The sequence below is a fragment of the Homo sapiens genome, chromosome 18 (genome assembly GCF_000001405.40).
Source record: "Homo sapiens chromosome 18, GRCh38.p14 Primary Assembly".
Taxonomy (NCBI): domain Eukaryota; kingdom Metazoa; phylum Chordata; class Mammalia; order Primates; family Hominidae; genus Homo; species Homo sapiens.
The window spans coordinates 58,960,055-58,978,560 of NC_000018.10; the positions used below are offsets into that span (position 1 = coordinate 58,960,055).

General features: G+C 42.6%; 1 protein-coding gene across 57 annotated transcripts in view, besides 1 other annotated feature; it reads left to right on the forward strand.

The window, feature by feature from the left end:
- The window catches only part of ZNF532 (zinc finger protein 532), a 123,557-nt gene that overhangs the window by 97,131 nt on the left and 7,920 nt on the right, over positions 1-18,506 (forward strand). The window lies entirely within an intron of this gene.
- Positions 7,907-8,820: an enhancer, noted in NCBI's record as "H3K27ac hESC enhancer chr18:56635193-56636106 (GRCh37/hg19 assembly coordinates)". NCBI's record gives its function as "activates a minimal SCP1, AML or CMV promoter by ChIP-STARR-seq in naive H9 embryonic stem cells {active_cell/tissue: H9 hESC(naive)}" and the evidence as "EXISTENCE:reporter gene assay evidence [ECO:0000049][PMID:30033119]".

Here is an 18,506-nt window from a genome sequence, read left to right on the forward strand (position 1 = left end):
CAGCCTCCTAAGTAGCTGGGATTACAGGTGCGTGCCACCACGCCCAGCTAATTTTTGTATCTTTAGTAGAGACAGGGTTTCACCCTGTTGCCCAGGCTGGTCTTGAACTCCTGACCTCAAGTGGGATTACAGGCATGAGCCACTGCGCCTGGCCTGCTTGACTAATTTAAAAAAATTTTTTGGTAGAGATGCCTTCTGATGCCCAGGCTGGTCTTGAATTCCTGAGCTCAAGTGATCGTCTCATCTTGGCCTTCCAAAGTGTCGGGATTACAGGTGTGAGCCATTGTACTGGGCCAATTTTCCATCTTTACATGGGGTGAAAGGAGATTGCAAATATATGCATGTCATGGAGAATGAGCTGTGGCCAGATACCCTGCTTGTGTGAAAGGAGAAGGTTGGATAGATTCGGAAGATTTCAGATAAAGTCTATCTGACCTTACTTGAGCACAGCCATTTCAGAGAACAGATGGTGAAGTAGCTGGTTCCTGCCTGAGCACTGGGCAAAAGAACTAGGCGAAGACTAAGAACATGTGATTGCAGATCAATCTCCTTTTCTTTACAGAGGGACCAGTTGGTAGGTAGAATAACCCTCTAGACAGAAACTGGGTTTCAGCAAAACTGTTGACAGATTCTGTCTGTTTTGATACTGTTCTGTACAGTGTAGTGCAGGAGGGCCTGGGTGAAATATTGCATGGATAGCTGACTCATGGCTCACTGCCTTGTTGGAGAGAAAGCTTCCATCTTGGATCAGATTTTCCTCAGTCTTTCTATCAATGACTTAATTATAGGAAGAGAAGCTAGGAGGGATTTTGCAAGGCAGATCTTAAATGCAGAGCTTTTCACTTAAAAAAAAAATAAAAGTACACAGATATTATGTGAGGTAGATATGGCTTAGCTAAGTTCTATGAAAAAGTATTCTGTCTTTATTTGACTATCTTGCTATAACCCATCCTTCTTTGTGGCTGCTGATGTAGCATTCATATCAAGGAAAGCTAACACCCTTCCTTTGACTTGGCACCATAATCTAGCTGGCGGTTCCCAAGATTGGAGTGTGCGTCAGAATTAACTGGAAGGCTTGTTCAGCTAGTTGCTGGCCTCTACCCCACAGCTTCTGATTCAGCAGGTCTGGGATGGAACCCGATCATTTGCATTTCTCACAAGCCCTAGCTGATGCTGATGCTGATGCTGCTCATCTTGGGACCATGCTTTGCGAACTACTGGCTTAGTCTGAGTGGCAGTACAATCCCCCAAAGCCCATTGATTTATCCAATAAAAGTTCATTTCTTGCACATACAGAGTTTGCTATGCAGAGTTTGCATTTCTCCGGGGCAGTCATCCCTTCCACTGGTAACTCAGTGATCAAGGCTGTTTCTTTCAGCCCCATTGTCTCAACGTAGGTGTTACTGAAAAAAAGACTGGCGAGTCCTGCCTGGTCTTTACACGCTCGTTATTCTGGATATGATGCACAACACGAGTCATTGCCCAGAATGAATTATGTGAGCAGCCCCAAGTATATTCCCGCGTGTACCGCAAAGGGGAGGGAATGACAAGTAGTATTTGTCACCTGCAGTAAGGTGGCCACAGTGAATCTAAACAGGGAAAGGTTCCATTGCATCGATTTAAGATGGATGCTGACAACTAGCAGAGGAGGGTAAGCAGAATGCTGAGTCTAGAAACAGTGGCAGGAGGAAGAGAGAAGTTGGGGTTAAGGGGAGCTTTGATAGCTGTCTTCAGATAGATGTCCTCCATGTGAGGACCAGCATGTGATAATTCCAGACCAGCTGGGGCCATGCATGAGTGAAATGTCTGCCTATCTGTTGCTGGAAGTATTCAGGTAGTGGCCAGATGCTCATCTGTAAAATAATGGAATAGAAGGGATTCTAGGGTCGGCTGGGCATGGTGGGTCATGCCTGTAATCCCAGCACTTTTGGGAGTCCGAGGTGGATGTATCATTTGAGGTCAGGAGTTTGAGACCAGCCTGGCCAATATGGTGAAACCCCACCTCTACCAAAAATACAAAAATTAGCTGGGCATGGTGGCGGGCATCTGTAGTCCCAGCTACTCAGGAGGCTGAGGCAGGAGAATTGTTTAAACCCGGGAGGTGAAGGTTGCGGTGAGCCGAGATTACGCCACTGCGCTCCAGCCTGGATGACAGAGCGAGACTCTGTCTAAAAAAAAAAAAAATGGATTCTAGGGCCAATGTGACCTTTCTCCTCGGACACTGGAATGAAAGGAAACTACCAGTGGTAATCTATGTAGTAGCCATTGCTAGTGTGAGGTGGATATTTTAAACCAGTCACAGTCTAAAAGTCATTCCATGGACTAACCAAGTCTCTGTGGAAAGCATTTGGTTTCACAGTTAATCTAATTTGTGGATCGAAACAGAACTTCTAGGAAGAAGTCCTTGTCAGCAGGAAGGCTACAGGGGGAGCAGTGAGTCTGACTTGGTAGCTGCACACGAGAATCACCCGGAGAGCCTACGGCCCAGCACACTTGGTGCTCACCAGACCAGCTAATTGGCATCACTAGGGGTGGGACCTGGCCCTGGCATTCTTTTTTTTTTTTTGAGATGGAGTCTTTCTCTGTCGCCCAGGCTGGAGTACAGTGACGCCATCTCGACTCACTGCAAGCTCCCACCCTGGGTTCAAGCGATTCTCCTGCCTCAGCCTCCTGAATAGCTGGGACTACAGGCGCCCACCACCACGCCCGGCTAATTTTTTGTATTTTTAGTAGAGACGGGGTTTCACCATGTTAGCCAGGATGGTCTCGATCTTCTGACCTCGTGATCTGCCCGCCTCGGCCTCCCAAAGTGCTGGGATTACAGGCGTGAGCCACCGCACCCAGCCGGCCCTGGCATTCTTAAAGCTTCCAGGTGATTCCAGTGTTGTGGCAGGGCTGGGAACACTCATACCACCTGGGATCTGCCGCACACCTGCCCTTGCTGCTGATGCTCATTGCTGTGGCCCTCACTGTGTGACTGCTATAGCACCAACACACCTTTGTTGAGTTTATGTTTTGGGGAAGGTTGATCTCAAGTGTATTTGTTTAAAGACTCCACCCAACGTTCACTCTTGGTGGTGAAGGCAGGGGACACAACTCTCTGGATGTTGGATTTACAGCATTAGTAAGTCTGTTCAATATAATTTAAAGCCTGATTATAAATGATTTTAGGATGTCTTAATGTTTCTGTTCCTAAAGCCTTTAAGAAAAGTCCATAGATTTCATCTGCATTTTCCATACAGGGTGCAGGTGATAGGTGATTTGAATACTTGCTATTTTGTAGCCTTTCCCATTCTGAAATTCACTTTCAGTTCACTCAGAGATGTAGGTGAAAGACAGCAGTGGCAGTGAAGGAAAGTGGGAGAATGAAAGGATCAGAGTGTGGAGAGATGACCACAGCCACTGAGGCAGGTGTGCTGTTGTTACTTTTGAAAAGAATGGCAAGGCAATCAGCTTGCATTTCCTAGTTTGGGACCACCATGCTTAGAATCAGATTGACTGAGGAGCTTTACAGAGACTCTCACTTGCACAGTATTTAAAAGAAAAAAATGTGTGTGTGTGTGTGTGTGTGTGTGTGTGTGTGTGTGTGTGTATGTATATAAATTTTTAAAGTGCCCACTTGGCCGGGTGCAGTGGCTCACGCCTGTAATCCTAACACTTTCAGAGGCTGAGGCAGGAGGATTGCTAGAGCCCAGAGCTTGAGGCTGCAGTGAGCCGCAGTCGTGTCACTGCACTCCAGTGTGGGCAACAGAGTGAGACCCTGTCTCAAAAAAAAAAAAAAAAAAAAATTTAAAAGGTGCTCACCCACACAACCTGGAACCTAGCCATGTGTATGAAATGTGTGGTAGGGCATAATTGCCCCCCTTAATCTCCCTGAAACTTGTTTAGATAACTTTGTGAAATAAAACGTTACATCTCCATGTTGTTTCTGTCTTCGTGCTGTACTGTGGTGATGGCCATTAGTTAAGGGGATAAAAATACTGAAATACTGTCTAGTTTGCATAGTTCATTGCCAGATGGTTTCATTTTCATTCTTTTACTGTTAGAGTTCATCCTGTTGTCATTAGGCATGCCTTACTACAAAGTCTCTTATTTAATCTAAATGTAGGGATATAATAGATTTTTATCCTTTTAAAACTCATCTTTTAGCTATGGCGACTTTGACTTCCTGCCAAAATCCTGTTACCCTAGCAACAGGTAAAAAATTTTTTAAAAAACCAGTTTCTCCTATCTTTTTTGGCTTAGAACTTATTTGTGATCTCAAGGTTTTAGGAGAAATATCTTTAAATCAGTTGCATGTTCTCTTCTATCTCTGGTTGACTGTTAGAGAGTGATGGCTTCTCACTTGATTCTGCATTTGTGTCAGATGTGATTAAAAGGCACATTAAGAGTTTGTATATTCATGCTAGAAATGTATATCACTGCTGGCTTTATGAAACTTATTTTTCATTAGTTTTGGCCACTGGAATTGATATTTTGTTTGTGTGTGTGTGTGTGTGTGTGTGTGTGTGTGTGTGTGTGTGTGTATACACAGTTTTTCTTTTTTTTTTTAGACAGAGTCTCGCTCTGTCGCTCAGGCTGGAGTGCAGTGGCGTGATCATAGCTCAGTGCTACCTCACACTCTTGGTCACGAGCAATCTGCCAGCCTCAGCCTCCTGAGTAGCAGGGACTACAGGTGAACACCACCATGCCTGGCTAATTTTTATTGATTTTCATTTTTTTGTAGGGAGTTCGGGGTAGAGGGAGTTGTCTTTGTTGCCCAGGCTTGTCTCAAACTCCTGGCCTCAAGTGATCCTCCAGCCTTGGCCTCCCAAAGTGCCAGGATTACAGATGTGCGCCATCACACCTGGCCTATAATTTTATTATATTCTAAATATTTTTACTTCATATATTTCTTATATATTTATATACTATAGATCATATATAATACATATTTCTTATACTATATAAATCTATAATTTTTAATACTAACTTTTATTATAATTTATATTTTATTAGTTTATTTGATATTTTATTAGTATGGTTTACTATATGTAGTTTTCTGAAGTCCTCCACTTGATTTAATAAGAACTTTTTTTAATGTAAGGCTATAAATGTGTTGTAAAAAGGATGTTGAAAATTTTTGGTTCAGAGCATATTAAAGTACATATTGAACTATTGGTGATTTTGGTAGCTTGTGGCTAAATTGGAAGGCGGGGTGTTAAGGATACTGGGGCTAACACTGTCTGAGGGCTTACCCTACTTACTATCTCATTGCAGCAGGCTCCTGAGGGGAGACAGTTACGAATCCCACTTTTAGGTGAGGAAATGAAGCCTGAGAAAGGTTCAATAACTTACCCCAGGGTTTTGCAGCCTGCCAGAGGCAGGTTTCTAGCCCAGACTCTGCAGTTTGCACAGAATGAAAGCTGACATTTCAAAAGCTGCTTAATTTTAGTCTCCTTGAATCTTTCAATATAGATGTGGGACAGTTAGCAGATATGTCTTTCCATCCAGTTTTTACTTCTGCTTTTGATGTAGTCATTTTCATTTCATTTAGGTGTTCAATCTTGGTTAAAGTTGGTTATGCCATCATTAACTGGACGTGTGTGTAGTTTTGGAAGACTGTGAATGTCCTGGTTTTATATTCCTTAGCTGGGGTCTGATGCTTTCTGGAATTACTTGCAGTTGCTGTTAACAGCATCATGGTGTCGTTAATTAATTGGGCAAATCTTCCTGCAGAATTATGAAATGTTTTAGAGTGGCTTGAATTTAGCAGTTGCCTGGGATGTATCTGGGGGCTGCATGGATTGTAGCAGGGCCTGAGCCTTATGAGGGACAGAGCCTCTTCCTGCAGTGTCTCGGAAATCTGGAGAAATGCACAAGAGAGAGGCCCTTTCTTGACTCCAGGAGTTATCTTAAAGCAGAGGCTCTCGAGGCAGAGAGCACAGTTAGAATCAGGGTTTTTTTGAGTCTGGTTATGGGGGTTTGGGATGTGGAGAAGTGGGTAGGACCTGGGTAGGAGTGAAGTCTATTTTTAAATTTCTCTAGATAATTGTGTTACCTTCACACTTACATACGTTCCCTCCTACTCTCCTACCCTCTCTCTTCTCCTTGAGTAGTTCTGCTGTAAAGGGATTAAGCTGAGAGATAAGCTATTTAGAGGATTTTGCTCTTAATGCTGGAGAGTTTATAAAAGCTGCCTAACAGGAAGATGAGATTGGAGAATAATTTCAGTTTAGGAGTTATATATTTTTAAGAATAGCTAGAAAAACCATGAGTTTTTACTTTGGGAATTATCTTTCATTTAAAATGTTTATCTAAAATTACTTGCCTTGGTGTTTATAATTTGTTTCTAAATTATATTTTATAACTATTATGTGTTTTAGCAAACCTGTTTATTTTTGGATCATGAACAAGAATCTGGAAAGCCCCAAGCTTGCCCCAGTACCAGGCAATTTCACTGAACTGAAACAAAGTGAAAGATACAAAGAAGGAACCATAAGGTTTGCCCTCTAAATTGAAAGAAAATGAAATGACAAACGACCAGATTCCATTTCTAAAATTTACTGATTATTTTTCCATTAGGGACAGAAAAATAAATCCTTTCAAGAAAGACTAACACGTTATTTTGAAAATGTGACACAAATAAGACTGTAAAATATTAGTCCACATCTTGTGTATAGCCAGAAAAGGCATTTTTTTGTGTTTTTTTTTTTTTTTTTTTTTTCTTTCAGGTTCTTAGGAAGATATGCTCTTTACTGTGACATGTTGCTGCTTGGTCAGATGTCTGTCTGTTGGAGGCATTTTTCTGTAAACTCACCCGAGGTTGCTATAAACAAGGTTGAAGGGCTATAAATGTGTATTTATGTATGTCCTGTTATGTGGTCTAAGGGAAAAGCTGTGGCTTTATTAACTCTTGTTATTGTTATGGTGTGCACGTTTTCTCATGACACTGCATGAGAGTATATTAATGTACATCCCACTGGATATTAAGTATAAAAACCCCACATCGAAGGATGTGCAATGAAATTATTAAAGTAATAGCAAGACAAAGGTGTTGAATCTGGTAACCAGGTCAGTGGGCTTCTTTCTGAAAGTCTGCTAGGATTTAGGGGCTGGTAGGCCTAGAGGTAGAATAGCTGGTGGTCCCAGTGGAGGGTCCCCAACAGAACCAATCCCCCTATCATTAGAACCCATTGCCAGATAACAAAGCTTTCCCCGATAGACCCTACACAGCTGCCAGAGCATCTCTTGGAAGTGTGACTGTCATAGGTGGCCCTGGAGCCCTCCATGATCTTACCCTGCCTCCTTTTCCACCTCTCCTCCCCCTGGACCCTTGCCTATTCTTGTTCCAGCAATACAGAGCTGCTCGCAGTTTCCTGACATGTGCCACATTCTTCCTTGTCTTTGTTGCTTTCTGTTCCTTTTGCCTGGACATACCTTTCCTTGCTGCATTGCCTGCCTGTGAGCTAGTTATCACCAGTAGGTCTCTTCATCCCCACCCTGCCCCCCCGTGCACCCTTCCGTGCACCTGTGGCCGCCTCCACCATACTTTTTTTTTCTGCTGTTGTTCAACAGATTATAATCTCCTCAAGGGCATGGAGAGCCTGGCAAGTTAGAGTCGGAGCTCGGTAAATACCGTGGAAGGAATTAATCGAAACGCACGGCATTCGGTCTCCCACGGCCTGCTGGGTTGCTGAGGCTGCTTCAGACCTCAGTTTGGCTGAGGACTGGCTGTGGCTACTTAACTCTCACCACGTTTTATTACTATAGATTTGCACCTTCTACCTTGCCGCATGGCAGTTGCAAGCCTTTGGCCAGAATTGCCGGCCGAAAGGGAGTGGTTCAGTGCAGGCTCATTAAACATGTGTTAGAAAAAATCATTTACAGCACTTGAGCTGTGGATACCAAGCTGTATCTTTGCACATGAAGTACAGCACATATGGTACTCGTCTCTGAAAAGTCAGTACCCTACAAGGCATGCAGGCAATAATGGGTTAGAACATGGTGCTTAAGAACACCACAGTGACTAAGATGTTTACAGACACTTAAGACATTTGTAGTTCATTGCCTACCAGGGCTGCTGTTATTTTGGAGACCAAGGAAGATATTTCCTCCCCTGGCTTTTCCTGTTTATCTCTAAGGGGCCCAGAAGGTAGAGGCTCCCTTGACACTGGGCTGGTGCTGTTGCTGAGACAGGAAAAATAGGAGACTTGGTGCCTGTCTTTGTCTGCTTTGGGAGAATATACCAGGACTTCCTGGCCAAAAATATTTCAGATTAAAAACATTCCCATAGCCAGAGACTAAGCTCCCTCACTGTCACAAACAAGCACTTTTCCTTCCAGCTCGGCTTCCAGTGCCCATGGCTGCAGCGAGTCTAGCTCCTTACCCCTCTCTTCCTTTTGGCTTGGAGATTGGGTTCTGCTGTCTCATCATGGTGCTCCCATACCTGGAAGCTTACAGATGGCAAAGCCTTGGCTTCTGGCAGACCCAGGCCAGTGCCTCCCTGAACCTTCTCCCTTGTCCTCTCTCAATCTCAAGTCCCTTCTTGTGACCCACGGTTCCCTCCCTGTCCCTGGAATCCATGGCAGGTAGAGCGTAGACATAGATCCCTTGGGGTGGTGGGAGTGGGAGGAGTGTCGTATCTCTCATGCCTTGAAGAGCCCAGATTTGCGCTGGGATTAGGTTTCTTCATTGAATCAGTGCTGAAAAGGGTGATTTGTCTCTGTTGCATTGGTTCAGTGTTGTGATTCTACTGCAGTGCCTGGTGAGGCTGTTATGGACTTGGCCTAGAATATAACTGTCATTTGTAATTTCTTTAGGAAAATGTGTTCCTCAATCCAATTGGCAGACCAGATTTTCAGATTTTAAGAATTTAGGACATGATTCCGTCTGTAAATTGACATTACCTTGAAACCTAAAACAACTAGAAAATAACTTAGCCACAGGTGGGGACATCAAAGAAAATAAGAGGCCATTCCCGGGCATGGTTGAATGAATAAGGACTTGTAAGATAGACAGCACCAGAAGGTAACTGGGAGGTAGGAGATGCTTGCTCGCTTTAGTTTTAAGTTGGGAAAACTTCAGACCCAGAGGGATTGTAGGACTTTTTGCAGAGCACTTTAGCTCTTGTGCCTGAGCCTCGGGGTGTGAGCTTTTCCACAGCCACCTCGAGTTGTGAGTGAGAACACAGTCTTACTGCTTGGCAGGAGGAGAGCTGGGGCCTAGGGTGAGACCAGCACAGAGGAAAGTTCTGTCCAGTCTGCCAAATCCAGCAAGTCCATGTTAATGTCCAGTTGGAAGGGTGGTTCAGGGAGGAAGATGGGCTCCACTCTCATACCCTTTCTTCATGTCTCCTCAAAACCAGTCATTGCAACACCACAATCAACACCGACACGGAGCACAGAGGGGCGTCTTCATCGCTGCCCGGCAGCTTGGTCTCTCACCTGGGTACACAGCACCTTCCTGGGACACTCTAAGGGGTCACTTGTGCACTGCCCTTTTTCTGTTACACCTTCAGATATGATGGTTGATTATACCTACTGGTGGGACCTTATTAAAGTGGTCATTCAGGCAGTTGGAAAGTTCCTATATGATGTGGGGCTGGGACTGGAGAAAGTGACATGTCATCATTAGGTTAGCTTTTTTGACATTTGTGTTTGCTTGTTTACTTTTTAATGTTGTTAACACATTTTTTATTGATCTGATAAAAACAGCAATTATCTTTAAAAGGAATGATTAGTTTCTTTTGTCTTTTGATTTGTGGAAATAAATACTAGAAAGATTCTATGTAAGTCTTCAAGCGGTATTTAATTTTTATTATGTAGCAATATTTGTCCCTTTTTTTTTTTTTTTTTTTTTTTTGCCCCGAGATGGAGTCTCGTTTTGTCGCCTAGGCTGGAGGGCAGTGGCGTGATCTCAGCTCACTGCAACCTCCCACTCTGGGTTCAAGCGATTCTCCTGCCTCAGCCTCCTGAGTAGCTGGGATTACAGATGCATGCCACCACTCCCGGCTAATTTTTTTGTGTTTTTAATAGAGATGGGGTTTCACTATGTTGGTCAGGCTGGTCTCAAACTCCTGACCTCGTGATCCACCTGCCTCGGCCTCCCAAAGTCCTGGGATTACAGGCGTGAGCCGCTGTGCCCAACCATATTTGTCCTTTTATAAAATACTAGCTATTATACGGGGAAAAAAATCTTTCACAGTGACCTTTTTCTGTTTCAATTGCTTTATGATTAAAAAGGGCCAAAAGATTCTATAACTACTGTACTAGGAGAAAATATTCTGTGTATTCCTGCCAGTGGTCCCTTTTTGAAGACTGGATTCTCTGAGAACAGGAATAATAAGAGAAATAACATGTCACCCATCTGTAGATGGACATCTTGGGAACCAGGGAGGCTTCAAAGGTAGGACAGATGCCTGCAAGTAGAAGGGGAATGAAGTTGAGCCAGATCTAGACAAATAGGGCAGCAAAGATTTTTTTCATAGTCAGGTGGTCTCTGGTGAATGTTTCAGAGTTTATGATCATGGCAATGGATGCCTCAAGGCACCTGTCAGCCCTCTTTCCAGGGCGTCAGTCATTGTGAAGGAGAGGCAGTAAAGATTAGTCAGGATTTATTTTGTCGGCTTTCTAATGAGGATTAATAAAGATGTACCCAGTGGATGGCACGAGGGTATTGACCCAAGAGTCCCCTGACAGAGAAGAGATGTGAGGTTTGTTTAGGGTCTGCAGTGAGAGTCCCAAACCTCTGCTGCACATCCCCACTGGCCAGTGGAGGTGGACACAGAGGCCCCTGGCAGGCATGTACCCCTGGTAGCCCCACCGTGCCCTGGCAGGCATTTCTGGGTTTCATTGGCATGATGCTGGCAGCTTGTTAGAAAGTTAGGTAGCCTTCCTTCAGCCCTTTCTTTTTTTCTCTGCCCAAGTGTCTGACATTGCCCTAAGCTCAGAAACTACGGTGCGACACGTTTCTTTGCCATCTGCTCCGGATTTGGCCTTCTGTTCTTGTGCATTTGTTACTGTTCTGCGTCATTACTTTTTCAGTTGTACAGTGTCATCAGCAGACCAGACAGTCTTATAACCAGAAACTTCGGAGACTTGGTTTTGTTTTTGTTGTTTTAAATAAGCATAGTGGTAAGCACACGTTGGTTTAACCCTCTTTATTTCAAAGTTGTCACCTCGGTAATCTAGGCACGTGACAGTGATAGTGCTGGTTCTCAGAACCTGTTTAGAGCATGGCATATGAAAAAAAAGCATTCTTTTCACTTTATAGTTATGACTGGCTTTAGATTATCTACATAAATTTACATAAATTTGGTTCTGAATGATTGAGACTTGTCTCTATTTTCTATTGAATGTGAAACAGTGGTCTCAATCAGGGATCAGCAAACTGCGTTTCATGGGCCTGCCACCTGTTTTTGTAAATAATTTATGAGAACACAGCCACGCCCATTCATTTAATTATTATCGTCTATTCTTGGTTTTAAGGTACAAGGGCAGAGTTGAGTAGTTGCAACAGAAACCTTATGGTTTCTGGCCTAACATACTGTCTGGCCATTTAGAGAAAAAGTTGGTCGACTGTTTTACCTATCACTTTGGTAGAGTTGAAGACTAGAGCTGGTGTGGGAAACTCCCTTGGTGAACGTGCTAGTGGTGGTAGAATGAATCTTTTTTAGGGCAGTTTGGCATTTAAAGAGGCTTATTTTTCACAACCTTTATATTGGAAAGACTGCCTTCAATAGTTTATACAAAGGAAATAATTGATTATGGAAATTTGTGTCTGTAGTTACTAAGAAGTTGAGACAACCTGAATCTTTAATAGAAGATAAACAATTCATGGTTCATTTGTGCAACAGAATACAATACACTTGTTAAGAATGCAGAACTAGCTGGGCATGGTGGCTCACGCCTGTAATTCCAGCACTTTGGGAGGCTGAGGCGGGTAGATCACCTGAGGTAAGAAGTTTGAGACCTGCCTGGGCAACATGGTGAAACCCTATCTCTATTAAAAACACACAAATTATCCAGGTGTGGTGGTACACACCTGCAGTCCCAGCTACTTGGGAGGCTGAGGTACGAGAATCACTTGAATCCCAGGGCAGAGGCTATGGTGAGCTGAGATTGCACTACTGCACTCCAGCCTGGGCGACAGAGACTCTGTCTCAAAAATACAAACAAGAAAACAACTGTCAGTGTGTGTAGATATGTGTGTTTTACAAGTGAAAAAGAATTAGTTTGAAAGCCAATATGTATAATATAGATCGGTTTTAGAAATATAAATACACATCAGTGTGTATATTCAGAAAAGTGGGAAGGCTGTGTCATTAGAAATTGACAGTGGTTATTTTGATGGGTGAGATTGGAAGCAATCTTTTCTCTTTTACATTGTGCAATAAGCATTTGTTACTTTGATAAAGAAATAAGAAAATGAAGGCCACAGTTATTTGAGTCTGAAGTCTAAAATGTACCATACGTGCTTCATTTTGAAAATGGAAGCTGCTGAGCAGGAATTCCCTCAATATCTGGGCCCCTTCGTCACCCACCCACCCCTGACTTTAATAAGCATCACACCTGTCCCCGGATGACGCCTTGGCTCTGGCCACACAGGAAGAGCTGTTCTTCCTGTGTCTGAATCCCTGTCTCCCTGCTCATTCATTCATCGCTCGCCTCTATCCTCAGTCTCTTCATTTATTACAGGCTCTTTCTTATCCGTATTTAAACACCGTCATGTCTTGGCCATCCTGCAGGAAATAAGCAGAGTTCCTCTGTGTCCAGCACTTTATCCTAAATTTGTTACTCCATGATTACTTCGTAGAACCTGCCGATGTTTTCCAAGTAGACAGTTTTGTTCAGTTAATCTTTATTTATTCATTCCCACAGTATTTACTGTTTTCTGATGCAGAGATGAACAATTGACAGCTTCTGTTCTCAAGGAGCTTATGGGGGAGGGAAAATGCCCCCCAAACATCCCTTTAATAATTAAAAAACAACAAAACTTTGATTGTACGCTTTTTCTTTGAAGAAAGAGGCTTACTGTAAGTTGGTGTTTTACCTACTAATTGAAATATATATCTGTTTTTTGAGACAGAGTTTTCACTCACTCTGTCGCCCAGGCTGGAATGCAGTGGCACTATCTCTGCTCACTGCAACTGCTGCTTACCGAGTTCAAGTGATTCTTGTGCCTCAGCCTCCTGAGTAGCTGGGATTACAGGCATGCACCACCATGCCCAGCTAATATTTGTATTTTTAGTAGAGACAGGATTTTGCCATGTTGGCCAGGCTGGACTTGAACTCCTGGCCTCAAGTGGTGCGCCCGCCTTGGCTTCCAAAGTGCTGGGATTACAGGCGTGAGCCACTGTGCCTGGCCAGAAAGATTTTTTTGTTACCTTAATAAGTCATTAGAGAAATGCAAATTAAAACCACAACAAAATACTACTGGCCACCCTGTAGAATGACTGAACTAAATGAAGTGGCAATGCCAAATGTTAAAAGATGGCGGAACGGTGGCAGTTTCTCTCCATTGCTGGTGGGTATGCAGGGGACAGCCGCTCTGGAAAACAGTTAGACAGTTTCTTATTTAACATATGACTTAGTAATCCCGCTCCTGGGTATTTACCCAAGAGAAATCATATGCACAGATGAATGATTATAGTAAATGTTTATAGTGGCTTTATTCATAATATCAAAAACTAGAAAATCCCTAAATGGCTTTCACTTGGCAAGTGAATAAACACACTTGGGCACATCCACACTGGAACACTAGTCAGCAGAGAAAAGGAACAAATACCAATAGACCCAACAGCGTGGAGGAATTATATGTGTATTATGCTGAGTGAAAGAAGCGAGACTCAAAGCTTCACGTGTACTGTATGGCTCCATTTATATGACAAATGGAGAAAGCAAAACCAGAGATAGAAAGCAAATCCCTGGCTGCTAAGAGCGGGGTCGAGGGGGTGGGGTTGATTATAAAGGGCACGTGGGAATTTTGGGGGATGACACAACTGTTCTATGTCTTGACTGTGGTGGCACTTATTCATAGAACTCTACTTTTAAAAAAGTGATTTTATAAACTATATCTCAATAAGCTCAGTTTTTTTTGCGGTAAAATTTTTTTTGGATATGTGCTATATTTACATAGTTTAAAAATTTAAACAATATGAAGGAATATAGTGAAGTCTTAACTCCTAAGTTTCTTATCTTGAAGTCTCCTTATGCAAGTATTAGCATATATGCATATATTCTCATTCTTCTAATACAGAACACAGCTTCCATCTATAATTTTGTGTACCAGTACTTTCTCCGCTTAGTAGTTATGGTTCTTTTCGTATCAGTGCATTGAGATCTTCCCTCCATTTCTGTAGCGGCACGGCATCTTGTGGTATGAGTGCATGCATGTATTTAGCCAGTTCTCCTTTGATGGACCCACCGTACACAATGGTGCAGTGAATAAACTTGAACACAGTGACTTCTGCTATAACACTTATGCTGAAACAAATTTATCCCAGTACCAAGATTTATCAGAACAATGGGAGCTTAACCTGAATTTCATGTTTGCTTATGTGTGATTTCATCCCTGAGAAATACCAAGTGACTACAGAATGCTGTGGAGTTGTGTAGGAAAACACAAAACACATACACACAACAAACCTCCGATTTCACCAGGGCCTCCCTCTCAACTGTGGGTCACATCCATCCACAGCTGGTGTTGCAAGCTTCCCTTCCACTAAGATTGCCCTCCTTCCCCCACTTCACAGTAACTCACAAGCTGCAACCCTCTGACCTCCACAAGCTCACTGCAGGTCTTTTTCAAGGTAAAGTGCAGTGTTTTTTGCATTTCTTAACCATTTGACGTAGTTAAAACTAAATATTTTCATTCGATGTGTCACTGACAAAGTCTTGAGTGTTGTCTCCGTGACTCCATTTTTGCTAGAGGCCCTGTTGTTTTGTTGAAGTTTTGCATAGTGCAGTGATTTTTAGGAGCACCGATGTTGCATTACAGCAGAAACGGGCTGTAGTAAGTATGCAGGTCTCTTCATAGAATAGATTGCCCAGTGGAAGGGGTCAGAGCTTTAGGAGTGAATTTTGGAGGGACTGCTGCTGTGCTATATTTAAATCATGTGATTGGCTTGGTTTTTCCTTTTTCATAAAAAGGTGTGAGCTGAAGGGCATGTGTCAGCAACGGTTGAGGATAATCCTGTAGCCTGCAGTCTTTAAGTTTGTGGGAGTTTCTGGCTGCATGGTGGTCGTTAAGGAGGCTCTTGCATGTTGGTGCAAGGCAGATACCTCGTGGAGGTAGGACTCCCAGGACAAGGTGAGATGTGGATGCCTTGCCAGATCTGGGTATGAAGTTATGACTTTTCTCCCTCTAACTTCCCCAAAGTCACCTGAAACAGAGACCCGTAAGCACAGAAACAGAAAGGACAAGTTATTAGAATGGGAAGTTTCTGATTGTGAGGGAAGCCCCGTGGCAAACCGAGACACGTCCACCAAGTGCTCTCCGGGAAGAATGGCCTGCCAAGGCCGTACCATCCCAAGCACAGCAGCAGCATGGGGTAGCGCACGCCTAGCATAGTCACTGGAGAAAAGGAGGCGGGATTAATGCTTTCTTTCCTGAAGCTGTGAAGATGAAAGTCAAAAATGAGACGGGAGGAAGAAAGTTTAGGAAGTGTACCCAAGTGTTTATTTTGATATTTTACTCTCAAAAAGTTTTATGTTAAAAACTTTGGAAACCCTGCCAGCTTATTAGTTCACTATTTCTTTAAAGAGTTCTATTTAAAAACAAAGTAACTCAGAACTGAGTAGGAAGACATGTTCCTTTTCTGATCTTAGTTAACTATTAAAAAGTCCACCCAAAGCTCTCAATCTCAGCTTATAGTAAAGCCAGGAGGAAGCAAACGGCCTAAAGTCTTAGAATGATGACGGTGGGCTTTACACTGAAATGCTGTTTTCCCATTTTTTAAACTCATAAAAGCAGAAGGAGCTAGTAATATTGAGGAACAGAAGTTACGAAAATAAATTTGGCAAAGTACCTTCGAATAAGTTTGTATTTAAAATCTAACAGAGGAAGAAAGTTGTCTGTTAGGTAATGTGACCAGGCAGGTTTGATCTGGAAACTGGTGTTTTAAACCTCATTTTCTTGTCACCAGTGAATTGGAAACCCTGCTTATTTTTGAATTGCAGAGTTCATTTCTGCATTTTTCATAAAGATGCTGAAACAGAAGGATGTCTCTCTCACATTGATTGATCTTTTGAAAATAGTTACTGATTTGCTAAGCTGCTCTTCATTTTTTAGGGTTTTCTTACTGGCATTTCTGTATTAAAATTTTGTTTTGATGTTAATATTACTACACAAGAAGAAATAGAATATTAAACCCGTCACCTTAATAGGAAATCGAATTTTCCTTTCTGTGGGGTCTCTTGTCCTATTGTATTGTTAGAAAGATACATTTTTCTTTATAATCTGTTAGGATTTGGTGAAGCAGTCTTGCTTTTAGAAAGATGACTTTCAGTTGATTTTTTTTTTCTTTTGAGATGGAGCCTTGCTCTGTCTCACAGGCTGGAGTGCAGTATCATGATCTTCTCGGCTCACTGCAACCACTGCAATTCTTCTGCCCCAGCCTTCTGAGTAGCTGGGATTATAGGCACCTGCCATCATGCCCAGCTAATTTTTGTATTTTTAGTAGAGACGGGGTTTCACCATGTTGGCCAGGCTGGTCTTGAACTCCTGACCTCAGGTGATCCAAAGTGCTGGGATTACAGGCGTGAGCCACTGCGCCCAGCCTCAGTTGATTTTTATATGTAGAAAATATAAAAAGCATTAGATACTAGATTTTTAAATATCTTTATTGAAATACAGACCTGTTGTTCATGACTTTAAAGCTTTAAAATAAATAAAGGCTCGTTACCTCTTAGTCACTCTTTTGCTGCATAAATGCTAATCCAAGAGGTTAGGGATTGCTGCTGGCCTATTTTGTGTAATCAAATCTTTATGAGAGAATATTTTTGGGGGGTGCCAGCTTGTTATTTGCTTTGTTCTCTCTTTCGTTGTTTCCCCCAGAGATGAACAGCATTGGTATAACTTTTAACTTGGAGAAGAAATTTTCTCCTTTGCCCTTGTTTGGATTCAAGACCCTTTTGAATATCTACCAGACTGATTTGGTTTATTTAAAAGACAGACAGTATTTTTCTATGCTTTTTGAATGGAAGTTGGCTGCATAACTTGACTATTACAAGAGCATTTCCTGAGCGATGTGTCCCATGCTGCCTGCCCCCTTTGTTAATCATCCCCGTGTTCTCGAAGCGTCCTGGGAGGCAGGCACTGTTGCAAGCCCACCTCACAGGGGTGGGAGTGGACATTCACGTGGGTTGAGTGGCTTTCACCAGGTCCTGTGATTCATGAGGCAGAGACCAGGTGCCAGCTCATCTTAGGTGCTGCCGGCCAGACTCAGCCACTCCGATTTGCCTGCCGGTTTGAACAAGGACATGTTTGTCAAGCGGTTATGGGAAAATGATTTTTAAAAATGTAATCAGTCTGGGCATGGTGGCTCACGCCTATAATTCCAGCACTTTGGGAGGCTGACTGAGGCCAGCGGATCACTTAAGGCCAGGAGTTCGAGACCAGCCTGGCCAACATGGTGAGACCTTGTCTCTACTAAAAATACAAAAATTAGCCGGGCGTGGTGGTGGGTGCTTTTAGCCCCAGCTACTCGGGAGGCTGAGGCACGAGAGTTCTTTGAACCCAGGAGGCGGAGGTTGCAGAGCCGAGATGACACCGCTGCACTCCAGCCTAGGCAACAGAATGAGACTCAGTCCCAAAAAAATGTAATCAATCATTTCTTTATCACATAGCTTGCAATCACTTCTTAGTATTATCTCACATGAAAACTTCGTCCCACTTCAGTCTTTAATGAGTTTAGAGCCAGATTTTGTTCCATTCATGAGGCTTGACAGCTCTTTAATTTCCTTGTGATATGACACTGTTTAGTTCCAGACTGCTATGCATGTCATAACCAAAGAATTTGTTTTACGCCACTAATTTACTTCAAAGGTTCTGCATGGAAATATATTCAGTTAACATAATATCTCAGCCTGAGTGGGAAACTTTTAAATATAAGGAAATTCGGCTTACCTACTTGACAGTGTTTGCTGTCTCTCTCTCTCTCATCCCCTAAGTATACCAGCAGGCAGCCTCCTTAAAGTTGTTTCAAAGTTCTGTGTTCTTGAGATTATCAAATGATATTATTTAAAACAAAAATCCTTCTAGAAAACTTCCCTTATATAATGAATAATTACTTAGTCATTAAAGGGTAGCCAGAGATTTCATTTAACATGGCATACTGAATAAAACAGCATATTCTATCTACCACAAATTAGGTAGTGGCTTTACTTAGTATTTACTGATGTATGGTTTCATATATTATCTTTTCAGTAAAAGATTTATATAATGTTATTTCAAATACCTGGATGTTTGTGTTGAATCAAAAACCTGTGTTTTTGAGAGAGAATTTTTTTTACCCTTATGATAGT